Raw genomic sequence first — 14,961 nt, forward strand, 5'->3', positions numbered from 1 at the left:
TCTATTATTTTCTTTGTTAAACTTCTGAGAACACCTTCGAATAATAGGAAAAGATGACTTCCTGTTAGGAACTGTAATTAACTATGTGTTTCCTCTTCCTGGGTGCTGTCTTTAACCATCAGTCACCATAACCTACTTATATAACAAATAAAACTGAGAACTAGACTTGTTTTTAAATTTTAAAGTATTAAATATTCTATACAGTGTAGTAGTAAGCATTTTTAAATTAGTAAGTCATTTATAAATACAAACTCTCTTTGAAAAACGTTCTATCACTACAGAAAAAAAGTAAAAAAGTCAAAATCCTTTTATTCCTCATCCAAGGAATATACCCAAGAGAACAGATTATATCCTTGAAGACATATCTTTTTTTTTCTTTTTTTTTTTGAGTCAGCTTCTTGCTCTGTCACCCAGGCTGGAGTGCAGTGGTGCCATCTCGGTTCACTGCAACCTGCACCTCCTGGGCTCAAGCAATCCTCCCATGTCAGCCTCCCAAAAAGCTAGGACTACAGACACAGGCAACCACACCCAGCTAATTTTGCATGTTTTATAGAGATGGGGTTTTGCCATCTTGTCCAGGCTGGTCTTGAACTCCTGGGCCCAAGCAATCCGCCTGCCTTGGCCTCCCAAAGTGCTGAGCTTACGGGCATGAGTCACCATGCCTGGCCTAAAGATGCACTTTTAATGCATATATATATATGCATATATATATATATAAGATGCTTATATATATGCATATATATCATATATATCTCACATATATATCTTATATACATCATTATATATAAGATATCTAATAATATATATAATATATATCATCTAATGATATATATAAGATATCTAATGATATATATTATATATATCATTATATATAAGATATCTAATGATATATATTATATATATCATTATATATAAGATATCTAATGATATATATTATATATATCACTATATATAAGATATCTAATGATATATATAATATATATCATTATATATCTGATATCTAATGATATATAATATATATCATTAGATATCAGATATATAATGATATATATAATATATATCATATATAAGATATCTAATGATATATATTATATCTATTATATCTATTATATATGTCTAATGATATCTATTATATGTCATTATATATGATATATAATATATATATCATGATATATATAATATATATCATGATTTATATATATCATGATATATTATATATATATCTCTTAGGGCTTTTAAATAGATAAAATTATACCTATATATCAAAGGTAGAAAGTTTTGGGGGTTTATCGTTGCTGTTGTTTTATTTTTAATTCCTATCCCACTAGAAAACATTCTGGGCTGGGTGCGGTGGCTCACGCCTGTAATCCCTGCACTTTGGGAGGCTGAGGTGGGTGGATCACTTGAGGTCAGGAGTTCGAGACCAGCCTGGCCAACATGGTGAAACCCTGTCTCTACTAAAAATACAAAAATTAGGTGGGCATGATGGCACGAGCCTGTAATCCCAGTTACTCAGGAGGCTGAGGCAGGAGAATCCCTTGAGCCCAGGAGGTGGAGGTTGCAGTGAGCCAAGATTTTGACACTGCACTCTAGCCTGGGTGGCAGAGCAGGGCTCTGTCTCAAAAAAAAAAAAAATCTGGGCTGAGCACAGTGGCTCACGCCTGTAATCCCAGCACTTTGGGAGGCCAAGGTAGGTGGATTATCTGAGGTCAGGAGTTAAGAGACCAGCCTGATCAACATGGTGAAACTCCGTCTCCACTAAAATACAAAAATTACCCAGGTGTGGTCATGGGCGCCTGTAATCTCAGCTACTCAGGAGGCTGAGGCTGGAGAATGCTTGAACCCAGGAGGCAGAGGTTGCAGTGAGCCGAGATCACGCCATTGCACTCCAGCCTAGACAACAAGAGTGAAACTCCATCTCAAAAAAAAAAAAAAATGTACTGGTATTTAGTACATGGAAGCAAATGTGTCAAAATGGTTGATTCTCAGTTTGTTTACATGCGTGACTGTTATTTTCTTCTTTATATTTTCTAGGTTTTACCAATTTCACATTTTAAAAATTAAGAAAGTCTATATCTTTCTTTCATTATTTTTCATAGCTTTACTATCATGAAGTTTATTACAAAGCTTCCATAGAGCTGGCTCTATGTAAACTGGTAAAGTGGGTTAGTTTATCTTGAACACATTGTATTTATCTTCTGGCCTCCCTACTCCATGTGACCACTGCCAAGTGCAGTCCATTGGAGCTGACACCCCCGATGTCAAGGTCCACTAAATCCTGCCTTCCTGACCCAAGTCCAGTAGGCTGCAAAACTGCCTACCCTGTTGTCTTGTAAACATACAAAAAATTTTCAACTCTACTCATAATCAAATAAATCAAAATATCCAAAGGATTGTAACGACCAGTGTTACTGAGAGTGCGAAGAAATTAACATTCATGCTCTGCTGGCGAGGATGTAAATAGGTATAGACTTTCTTGAAAAAAATTGAGACATATATGTTTGTATGTGTGTGTATATATATGTGTGTGTATCTATCTCTCTATATATAGATATATGTGTGTATCTATCTCTCTATATGTAGATCAGCTCCATGTCATCCTTAGTCAATTCTCATAAGGAATGTCTTCACTTTTACAATCAAAGTCAGGCTGTATTAGATAGGCATATGTATAAAACCCAGACTAATAACTATTATTTTCTTTGTTAAACTTCTGAGAACACCTTCGAATAATAGGAAAAGATGACTTCCTGTTAGGAACTGTAATTAACTATGTGTTTCCTCTTCCTGGGTGCTGTCTTTAACCATCAGTCACCATAACCTGCTTATATAACAAATAAAACTGAGATCTAGACTTGTTTTTAAATTTTAAAGTGTTAAATATTCTATTTTCTCTCTCTCTCTCTCTCTATATATATATATATACACACATATATATGAAGAGCCTTTAATTTATTTCCTAGCCTTTGATTCAACAATTCCAATTCTAGGAATTTGTCTAAGGAGATAATCAGAGGTAAGAAAAGAATAGCTGTAAGAAGGTCCAAGAATAAAATATAAATTTTAAACAAAAACCTATGATAGAGCAAGAGCACCATCAACTCAGACAGACATCGCCACTTTAAATTCCAGTTCCCTTTCTAGTCTCATGCATTTCAAGGAAATCACTTCTGTTCGAACTACAAGCAGCCAGAAAGAGCAGACAGTAAAACACAAATAAGACAGCTCGGGCGCAGAGGGAGGTGGGGGGAAAGTCTCTGGAGCAACTGCCAAACTTCACCCTCACAAAATGGGCCCCAGTAAAACAGTGAGCCTTACTTAATAAGCACATTCCTTTCCCTTCAGGTGTACCAAGATAGGGAAGCAAAAAGCAGACTCGGGCGGGGTATGCCTACAGCTGCAGAAAGATGGATGGGAACAGACACACAACTCTCCCTCCCAGAAAAGCACAACAAAGAGACAGAGAAGCAGTCCAAGCCTCTGATAAACTCTCCCACCCTGAAGCCTTAGAAACTCTTAGTCTGTAGGAGAGTGTGTCTCTAACCTAACTCAGCCAGCCGCCCCTCTCAGGTTTATTCAAAATAAACCTGTCAGGCCGGGTGCGGTGGCTCACGCTTGTAATCCCAGCACTTGGGGAGGCCGAGGCGGGTGGATCACGAGGTCAAGAGATCGAGACCATCCTGGCTAAAACAGTGAAACCCTGTCTCTACTAAAAATACAAAAAAATTAGCCGGGCGTGGTGGCGGCCGCCTGTAGTTCCAGCTACTCCGGAGGCTGAGGAAGGAGAATGGCGTGAATCTGGGAGGCGGAGCTTGCAGTGAGCCGAGATTGCGCCACTGTACTCCAGCCTGGGCGACAGAGTGAGACTCCGTCTCAAAAAAATAAAAAATAAAAAATAAAAATAAATAAACAAATCTGTCCCTGTTGACTGTCAAGCCGCCCTTTGTGTTTCTCTCCTCTTTCTTTAATTCTTACAACCTATATGTCCAATAATAGGATGTTTGTTATAGTTGATTGTAATGTAACTGTAGGTTAGAATACTTTACTCATTTAAAAAATTATCTTGTCATAAAAGATTTTTAACAACCTGAGAAAATTTAAATATTTCTATGAGAAAAGGTAAGATATGTGCAATATATTATGTTATACTGCATATAATAATATGTAAGTATTATGTGCAATTTAAATCCATGTCTTATCTCAAAAGGGATTATGTAACTATATATGTATATAATAATGATAATTATTATCATTTTAAATTTATTGACCTGGGTGCAGTGGCTCACACCTGTAATCCCAGCACTTTGGGATGCTGAGGCGGGCAGATCACCTGAGGTCAGGAGTTCAAGAACAGCCTGGCCAATTGCCAAATGGCAAAACCCTGTCTCTACTAAAAATTAAAAAATTAGCCTGGCATGGCCTGTAGTCCCAGCTACTTGGGAGGCTGAGACACAAGAATCGCTTGAGCCTGGGAGGCGGAGGTTGCAGTGAGCTGAGATCGCGCCACTGCACTCCAGCCTGAGTGACAGAGCAAGACTCCGTCTCAAAAAATAAATAAATAGGCCGGGCGCTGTGGCTCACTCTTGTAATCCCAGCACTTTGGGAGGCTGAGGCGGGCGGATCACGAGGTCAGGAGATTGAGACCATCCTGGCTAACACAGTGAAACCCCGTCTCTACTAAAAATATAAAAAATTAGCTGGGCGTGGTGGCAGGCGCCTGTAATCACAGCTATTCAGGAGGCTGAGGCAGAAGAACGGCGTGAACCCGGGAGGCGGAGCTTGCAGTGAGCTGAGATCCCGCCACTGCACTCCAGCCTGGGCGACAGAGCAAGACTCCGTCTCAAAAAATAAATAAATAAATAAATAAATAAATAAATAAATAAATAAATAAATTTTTTGATACTTAATATGTGCCAGGCACTTTTCTAAGCACTTTACATAGAATGTTTCATTTAATTCCCACAACTGTATGAGGTTAATACTATCATTATTCTCATTTTGCAGATTAGGAAATCAAGACATAGAAAAATTAAGGAATTCTCCCAAGGTCACACAGCTAATAAGTAGCACATCTAGGAACTGAACCCATGCAGTCTGACTCCAAATACATACAAAAATACACATATAAATACATACACATAGGCCAGGTGTGGTGGCTCACGCCTGTAATCCCAGCACTTTGGGAGGCCAAGGTGGGCGGATCACGAGGTCAGGAATTGGAGACCAGGCTGACCAACATGGTGAAACCTCATCTCTACTAAAGATACAAAAAATTAGCCGGGTGTGGTAGCACGTGCCTGTAGTCCCAGCTACTTGGGAGGCTGAGACACAAGAATCGCTTAAGCCTGGGAGGCAGAGGTTGCAGTGAGCTGAGATCGCACCATTGCACTCCAGTCTGGGCCACAGGGTGAGAATCTGTCTCAAAAATACATACATACGTACATACATATACACATATGCATTTACTTATTTATATACATATACAGATATAGCATATATGCACAGATAATTAACATGTATAAGTCATACTCCAAAATGTTAAACATGTAGGTTAACATTTTTATTTGTGCTTTCTTTGTATTCCACATTTCCTTATTGAACATATATTAATTTTAGAACTTAAATTTTAAAACTTAGAAACTTATCTTTTCCATATTCTGCTAGCAAAATATTTTTGTCTAAGCAAGGAAATACTCCAGTGTGCCATGGAGACTAATCCAATTCCCACTTGGATGAATATTCTCCAAGATTTCCTAGCCATACAAATGCCCTGTCTCTCCCACAGTGCATTAAAATTATGGCCATCTAGTAAGGCCATTTCAAGCCCCATCTCTTTCTGAAGTCTATTCAGATATTCTTTCTTTAATTTCTGCTGCACTTATAGACAGTACAGAGCACAATACTTAATTGTTCTCAAATTGTTTCCTGTGTATTAGCTTTGGCTCCTCAATTGGATACCAGGTTCTTTATACACTAGCATCATGTCTCACCTTTTTGTTTTGTTTTGTTTTGTTCCCCACCCTATGTCACTTCTAGTACTGGCCCAACAGGAAATGTTCAATAAATACTTGATCATAGACTGACAGATGTTCTTCAAGTAACATAACTATAGTGTAATAGGAGCTTTCTGAAAATTATGGCTAATTCATTAAGAGTGAATTGATTCCAGTGATGGAAATTCATATGATGCAAAATGTGCTGCAGAAAAGAGAAGATTTGGCTGGGCACAGTGGCTTACGCCTGTAATCCCAACACTTTGAGAGGCCGAGGTGGGCAGATCACCTGAGGTCAGGAGTCTGAGACCGGCCTGACCAACATGGTGAAACCCCATCTCTACTAAATACAAAAAATTAGCTGGGTGTGGTGGCGCATGCCTGTAATCCCAGCTACTCGGGGGGCTGAGGCAGGAGAATTGCTTGAACCCGGGAGGCGAAGGTTGCAGTGAGCCCAGATTGCGTCATTGCACTCCAGCCTGGGCAACAAGAGTGAAACTCCATCTCAAAAAAAAAAAAAAAAGAAAAGAAAGAAAAGAAGATTCATTTTAATACTGATTTAATTGATATATATTATTTTAATTCACTCAGTTTAAAACTAGATTTTTCCCACAAAATTCCAGATATTAGCAATATCCCTGAAATAAATGAGAGATCCTCCTACATTACTCTAATCAAATGATAATTAATTAAGTCATGAGGCATAGAAACAATTTGAGACACAAAATAAATAATGGTAATATTTGGGTTATAACACTTAAAATACAATAACTATTAATTGATAGTGATAAAACTAAGCCAAATAAACAAATAAATGTGGGAGAAGGGATAGTTTTTCCTTACTGAAGAATTTCCTTACTGTAGAATACTAATAAATGTAAAATTAATGAGAAAAAGAAAGTCACCATTAGGCAAACACCATAGTAGTAACTGTTACAGGCAAGATCCACTGAAGGATGCTAAACTTAGTGAGTAAAAGTTTGAGAAGAAACAGGACAGTCTCAAAGTACCTTCCCCAAGATATTTGTTAATTACAAAAGGAAAAATAATAACCCTACCTTGGAAAAACCTAGCAGAAGACACCTGACAGACATCACCTTAACGAAGTGCTCAAGGTCAATAAAGCACATCCATTTCATGCACCCCCACATGAGATACTAAGAAAGGCACAACATCACTTCTGAGGAGTTCTTTCCAAAAATGCATAACCTCAATCTAATCATGAGAAAATATCAAAGTCAAATTGAGGGACATTCTACAAAATACTGACAGTAGTCTTCATACTGTCCAGGTCATGAAAGACAAAGAAGGTAGAAGAAAGCATCAGATTGGAGGTCATTAAGGGTTAAGCGTAATAAGGGATCCTGGCTTGGATCCTAGAACAGAAAAAGGGCATTATTAGGAAAACTGATGAAATTAGATAAGACTTATAATTTAGATCAGGGATTGATTGACTCTGGCCTGCTGCTGCCTGTTTTTTAATTAAAGTTTTATTGGAAGACAGCCAAGATCATTCACTTATATTGTCTATGGCTGTTTTCTCCAATGGCAGAGCTGAGTAGTTAGGACAGAGACTGTAAGGCCTGCAAAGCCTAAAATATTTGCTATGCCAGGATCAGCATTAGGTGAGGCAAGCAGGACACCTAGGTCTAAGGAAATATCCTCTCTCTCTCCCTCTCCCTCTCTCTCTCTCTCTCTCTCTGTCTCTCTCAAATTTCTGTACATGCGCAACCCTAAATGTTAGTGCCTCCTTAAATTTTGCATCCTACACACCCTACTTGCCTCATTCTAGTCCTGACTCTGTCTATCTAGTCCTTTACAAAAAAATGTTTGCTGGACCATGGTAGGGTTAACTATAGCAATGTTAATTTTCTGATTTTTTGGTGGTTTGTGCTTGCGATCGGTGGCTGCGTCACTCTGGTAAAGGTGTGCAGTTTTGGGCCATGATCTCTGGGCTGGGATGATCCAGGCTCTCGGTAGAGGCAAGGGAGCCCAGCTATAGCCATGGCCAGTACAATGGTAGCAGTTGGACTGACCATTGCTGCTGCAGGATTTGCAGGCCATTATGTTTTGCAAGCCATGGAGCACATGGAGCCTCAAGTAAAGCAAGTTTTTCAAAGTCTATCAAAATCTGCCTTCAGTGGTGGCTATTACTGAGGTGAGTTTGAACCCAAAATGACAAAACAAGAAGCAGCATTAATGCTAGGGGTAAGCCCTACTGCCAAAAAAGGGAAAATAAGAGATGCTCATTGATAAATTATACTCTTAAATCATAGCAGCCAAAATCAGTGAAGCTAGAAATTTACTAGAAGGTCAAGCTAAAAAATGAAGTAAATGTATGATGAATTTTAAGTTCATTTTAGTTTATGTATATGAGTACCAAGCTTTTATAATAAAATGCCTCAGAGCTATAATTTTTTTTAATTTCTGATTTTGATCATTATACTTTCATTAGGTATGATGTTAACATAAAGGGAAGCTGGGTTAAGGGTATATAGGAACTCTGTTGTACTATTTTTACAACTTTTCTGTAAGTCAAAAATTATTGCAAAATAAAACATCTTAAAAATAATGCAAACTCAAGGATAGGATAAGTGTACTAAGTTCCAAGTGCACAGTAACACTGTGGGGGCCAAAACAACAGCCACAACCACAACCACCACAACTTAGCGCTCTGCACCAGGCACTGTTCAAAGTACTTTATATATCACGTATTATTTAATCCCCACAACTCTGTGAGGTGGGTACTATTTACTTCCATTTACAGGTTAGAAAACTGAGGAATAGAGGCCGGGCGCGGTGGCTCATGCCTGTAATCCCAACACTTTGGGAGGCCAAGGCGGCGGATCACTTGAGGTCAGGAGTTCAAGGCCAGCCTGGACAACATGGTGAAAGCTCATCTGTACAAAAATACAAAAATTAGCTGGGCATAGTGGCATGCACGTATAATCCCTGCTACTCAGGAGGCTGAAGCAGGAGAATCACTTGAACCCAGGAGGCTGCAGTGAGCTGAGATCCTGCCACTGCACTCCAGCCTGGGCAACACAGTGAGACTTCATCTCAAAGAAACAAAAATTTAAAAAAAAAATCCAATATAGGGAGAAAGGCTAACTGTCTTGGAATCAATCTTTGTTAAATTGTTTTGAAATGGGGAATATATTGTTTTCTATATAACATGGAAATCCTCCCATAATTTATATATGTCATTATGTAAACTAGAAAATTAGTCTCATTGCTTGTTTTCATGGTTGTATTTTCAATTTCTGAAAGATAATTTTAAAAACTCTCTGAGAAGGAAAAGCTTCAGGATTACTGCTCTAGAACCATTAGAAAATACATAATTTTACTTTAATCAATTTCTAGCACAAACTTTAAATTGTAAGAACTATATACCAAAGCAAAAGTATTATGTGGGTGTCTCAATTCAATTGTGATAAGTAAAATTAGAATATCAAATTGTTTTGAAATTATAACAGCTAAAATGCTTTCGGGCATGATGAGTTCTGGTTAATTTTAGAGCATCAAATGAAGGAATACCTGAAGTAAAGGCAATCTATCCAATACAAATCAAGTAAAGGAAATGTCATATTAGTCAAAAATGTCATAAAAATATTTTTGAAATGAGAAGCATACCTATAAAAAGAAGAGAAAAGCCAGGTGCGGTGGCTCACGTCTGTAATCCCAGTATTTTAGGAGGCCGAGGTAGGCAGATCACGAGGTCAAGAGATGAAGACCATCCTGGCCAACACGGTGAAACCCCGTCTCTACTAAAAATACAAAAATTAGCTAGGCATGGTGGCATGTGCCTGTAGTCCCAGCTACTCAGGAAGCTGAGGAAGGAGAATCACTTGAACCTGGGAGGCGGAGGTTGCAGTGACCTGAGATTGCACCACTGCACTCCAGCCCGGCAACAGAGTGAGACTCCATCTCAAAAAAACAAAAAAAAGAGAGAAAAAATGACACACACACACACACACACACACACACACATATATATAAAGAAGTGACAATATTATGACAAACATTTCATTAAAAATAAATAATTGTTATCTAGATATGATATGCCATTGACAGACCAGTAAAATACATCCAGTAAAAGGAATGTTGAGACAAGGAAGTATGACTCCACCTGGTAACCATATTTTGAATATTACACATTAACAACGAGATTATTTTCTGTAAGGCTGTCCAAAATGAATCCTCCTTCTATGTAGATTGAAAAGACAACAGCATAACTTCAAAAGACTGACTATGCAGCCATAAAAAAGAATGAGTTCATGTCCTTTGCAGGGACATGGATGAAGCTGGAAACCATCATTCTCAGCAAACTAACACAGGAACAGAAAACCAAACACCACATGTTCTCACTCATAAGTGGGAGATGAACAATGAGAGCACATGGACACAGGCAGGGGAACATCACACACCGGGGCCTGTCGGGGGGTGGGGGAGAAGGGGAGGGACAGCATTAGGACAAATACCTAATGTATGCGGGGCTTAAAACCTAGATGATGGGTTGATAGGTGCAGCAAACCACCCTGGCACATGTGTATCTATGTAACAAACCTGCACATTCTGCACAGGGATCCCAGAACTTAAAGTAAAATTGAAAAAAAAAAAAAAGGACTGACTAAATAGGTCACAAGATTATGGAGATATAATGACCCTTACTGTATAAGCTAGCATGTATTTTTTTAAATCCAAATTGTCAGCCTTATCAAGTTAAATTATATTCCTTTGATTTTAAATTATTCCTTCAAAAATTGTTTGATAATAGTATAATTTCAACTGTGAATAACACATGGTAAAAATGGTAATAAGCTTTCTCAATTGCTATAAGCAAATCACCACCAACATAAACAAGAATAACACATTCTTGAGAAGAAATATGCAACTAAAAGACCATTATAAGCTATTCTGGGGGCGGGGCAGTTTTTTTAATTTCAACGTGTCTAAGATAACTTCCTCAGCATGGCAAAAATAGAGATTTTAATCCTTTGTGTCCAGTAATGCATTCTATTCTTAAAACAAAACTAAGCACATTTTATTAATGAACTACTGCCTTTATGAAACAACAATAAATATAAAAACATTTTGCTTTACAATGTTAATTTTACTACTTAGATTTTAATAAAAATAAATAAAATAAAATACATTAATTATAAAACATAAATATATCCTAATAACATGATTTAATAATATATAATTTAATAATGAATATATTTTATATTAATCTCAACATTATTTGAAATATTGAAAAATTGGAAATAAAATATTTAACAATAAGAGAATAATTCAACTGTGGTAACACAGCAAAATAAAATATTTTGCAACCACTAAAAAGTGTACAAGGAAAGTTTAATAGCATGGAAAATTCCTTGTTATAATACGAATGGGTAAAAAGCAGGAATCAACAAGTACATATAATATCCTCCCAAACAGGTCTTTAAAGAATATACATAGAAAGAATAGTGGAGATTAATATGCCAAAATATTAATACTGTTATCCTTGGGAGAGAGAATTATAAATGATTTTTCCATAATTTAAAAAACCTCTACAACCTTTATAATTGTTTATTGAGAACTTTAAAAATTTTGTTTTCTTACAGATCCAGTGAACAGCTACAGAGTTTTCACATGTTTTGTTTCAGAAGCCACCCTTTCAAGAAGTAATTTCTGTCACACAATTTGAAATATTAACATAAAGGGATGCTTCTTTGTTTCTATTTTGACTGCTCACATAGGAGTACACATTTTAATAAAATATATTAAAATCCCTAATTTTATAAGAAATTTCATTTCACCTCAATTATGAGTCACCATAATAAAGGTATAGCTTATATATACTGTGAAACACTGCCATCAGAAATTACAATAAAATTTCAAATATTTATTTTTAATATACTATATTGTGAAACAGCATATGGCCATGTGCCAGAATACACATATTTAATCAGAAGCTTCCGTAAAATTCCCATAGGACACTATTCAAGTAAAATCCCAACATACATTTAAATTCTTAACTTTCTCTGAGCCAAAAGTGCTTTAAAACAACACAAGGTTAGGTTTGTAGGCAATGTGACTAAAAATTCAAAGTTAAAACCTTAAATAAAAACTTGAAATACTATTGTGAAAAAGAATACTGTTGTGATAAAAATATTATCCACTGTCTTACCGAAGATAGTTCATCACATCCCAGTAATGTGTAGTAATCTTCAGTATCTTCTGACCTGTAATTCAGTATTGCATCCATTTAGATGACTTAATCAGTCCTTCTTCCCTCGGAAACAAGAGGCACAGTGAGCTTCGAATTAACAGGAAGAAACTCTTTAAATCTGAATTAGAGCAGCATGTTCCACATAGCAAAAACTAGCTTTAAGACTGGCCACAGTCAATACACCAGATGTCATCCTAGACCTTTGTAAACTCTGCCTCTCATTGGCTGTTTACAGAGAAGAAAAGAACAGTCCACGTGTCTATTATTGCAGTGCTGCCTGGGATCTGTAGTTTGAGTTTATATAAGAGATGCATGTGAACCATTTGTCTTATGAGTTAATAAAGACTGTCTATTTTCAGAAACTTGCCACATTAGCCACTTCTCCATCTCCTATATATTTTTGTCTCTATCCTTTAAAAAAAAAAAAGAAAAAAAATGTGAAGCAATGTGGTAAAATCTTAGGATGTGTTAATAAGGATAATGGGAGCTTTTCTTAGTGTTTAAAATACTTAATTTTATTTTTTATTTGTTTATTTTCAGACAAGGTCTCACTCTGTTGCCCAGGCTGGAGTGCAGTGGTGCAGTCTCAGCTCACTGCAACCTCTGTCTCCCCAGCTCAAGCGATCCTCCCACCTCAGCCTCCCTAGTAGCTGGGACCACAGGCACATAGCACCATGTCCAGCTAATTTTTGGTTTTTGTTTTGTTATGTTTTAAGAGGAGGGGGTTTTGCCATGTTGCCCAGCCTGGTCTCGAACTCGTGAGCTCAAAGCGATCTGCCTGCTTCGGCCTCCCAACGTGCTGGGATTACAGGCATGATCCACAGCGCCCAGCCAATAACACAGTCTTGATTTTTATGGAGCTTACGCTCTGATGGAGGAAGACAGCTGAAAAACATGCAAAAAAAAAAAAAAAAAAAAAAAACACGATCATTTAAAATAGTGATTTGTAAGCCAGGCATGGTGGCCCACACCTGTAGTCCAGCTACTTGGGAGGCTGAGGCAGAAGAATCACTTGGACCCAGGAGGCAGAGGCTGTAGTGAGCCGAGATGGTGCCACTGCACTCCAGACTGCGCTACAGAGCAAGACTCCATCTCAAAAAATAAAAAAATAAAATAGTGATTTGTGCTTTAGAGAAAATAAAATAGGACAATGAGAAGAACTGTATGATAACTCGGGTCAGATGGCTGTGCTATTTCTCCTGGGTTGGTTCTCCAGACTCAGGAGTGTCTCTAGTCTGAGGTAGGTCCAGGCAATTTATGTTTCAGTTCATTTTGGCCCTAAGAAACACAGTTCAGGTCTGGGATTTAGAGAACAAGGTGAGTGGTCAGGGACACAACACTTTGACTGCCTTAACACTTTTTTTGTTTCATTTTTCAGAGAGACAGGGTCTCGCCATATTGCCCAGATTGGTCTTAAACCCCTGGACTCAAGTGATCCTCCCACTTTGGCCTCCCAAAGTGCTGCGATTACAGATGTGAGCCAACATGCCTGGCCCTTAACACTTTAAATTCCCCCACCTGAGGGGAAAAAATAGTTTTTCTTTTAGCCCACCTATATACATCTTTTTAAAGGTTTATTTCTGAAGAGAAGCAAGAAAAAGCACTGAAACACCATTTTTTACTAATCCTTCATTGTACATGCTGTCTTGCTAAAAGTTCTATATAGAATTTTAAGGCCAGGCACGGTGGCTCATGCCATAATCCCAGCACTGGGAGACCGAGGCGGGCGGATCACGAGGTCGGGGGTTCGAGACCAGCCTGACCAATGTGATGAAATCCTGTCTCTACTAAAAATACAAAAATTAGCCAAGCATGGTGGCACGCACCTGTAGTCCCAGCTACTCAGGATGCTGAGGCAGGAGAATTGCTTGAATCTGGGAGGCGGAGGTTGCAGCGAGCCGAGATCGTGCCACTGGACTCCAGCCTGGGTGACAGAGCCAGGGTCCATCTCAAAAAAAAAAAAAAAAATTAGATCACAATATCTTGATCTAAATCACTGATAAATGGCCTTTTAATGATGTGAAGTTGCCATGGTGGAAAGCAGTATGGTGGTTCCTCAAAAAATTAAACATAGAACTACCATGTGACCCCACAATTCCACTTCTGGGTAAATACACAAAAGAATTGAAAGCAGGAACTTGAAAAGATATTTATATACTCATGTTCATCAAGGCATTAGTCATAATAGCCAAAAAGTGGAGGCAATGCAAGTGTCCATCAACGGATGACTAAACAAATGGAATGTTAGGGCTGGGCATGGTGGCTCACACCTGTAATCCCAGAACTTTGGGAGGCCGAGGCAGGCAGATCACTTGAGGCCAGGAGTTCGAAACCAGCCTGGCCAACATGGCAAAACTTCATCTCTACTGAAAATACAAAAAAGTTAGCTGGGTGTGGTGGCACATGCCTGTAATTTCAGCTACTTGGGAGGCTGAGGCACGAGAATTGCTTGAACCCAGGAGGTGGAGGCTGCAATGAGCTGAGATCACACCACTGCACTCCAGCCTGGGTGACAGAGCACGACCTTGTCTAACACAAACAAACAAAAAAGTGTGGTATTGGCCAGTTGCAGTGGCTTATGCCTGTAATCCCAGCACTTTGAGAGACCAAGGCAGGAGGATTGTTTGAGCCCAGGAGTTCAAAACCAGCCTGCGCAACATAGTGAGACTCTGTCCTTATTTTTATATTAATAATATAATTTTTTTTTTGAGACAGAGTTTCACTCTTGTTGCCCAGGCTGGAGTGCAATGG

The 14,961-nt window shown here is 38.1% G+C and overlaps 1 protein-coding gene and 1 pseudogene across 2 annotated transcripts in view; one reads left to right on the forward strand and one right to left on the reverse strand.

Annotated features, from left to right (window-relative positions):
• The window catches only part of DNAJC12 (DnaJ heat shock protein family (Hsp40) member C12), a 41,520-nt gene extending 29,097 nt beyond the window's left edge, over window positions 1–12,423 (reverse strand). For both annotated transcript variants that reach the window (NM_021800.3, NM_201262.2), the window contains exon 1: window positions 12,169–12,423. In NM_021800.3, coding sequence (NP_068572.1) covers window positions 12,169–12,246 — 78 coding nt within the window. In that variant the 5' untranslated portion in view covers window positions 12,247–12,423. The remainder of the gene's footprint in view (window positions 1–12,168) is intronic.
• Window positions 7,883–8,427, forward strand: DNAJC19P1 (DnaJ heat shock protein family (Hsp40) member C19 pseudogene 1; annotated as a pseudogene).
• Window positions 12,424–14,961: the final 2,538 nt, after the last annotated feature.

The sequence above is a fragment of the Homo sapiens genome, chromosome 10 (genome assembly GCF_000001405.40).
Source record: "Homo sapiens chromosome 10, GRCh38.p14 Primary Assembly".
Lineage (NCBI taxonomy): Eukaryota > Metazoa > Chordata > Mammalia > Primates > Hominidae > Homo > Homo sapiens.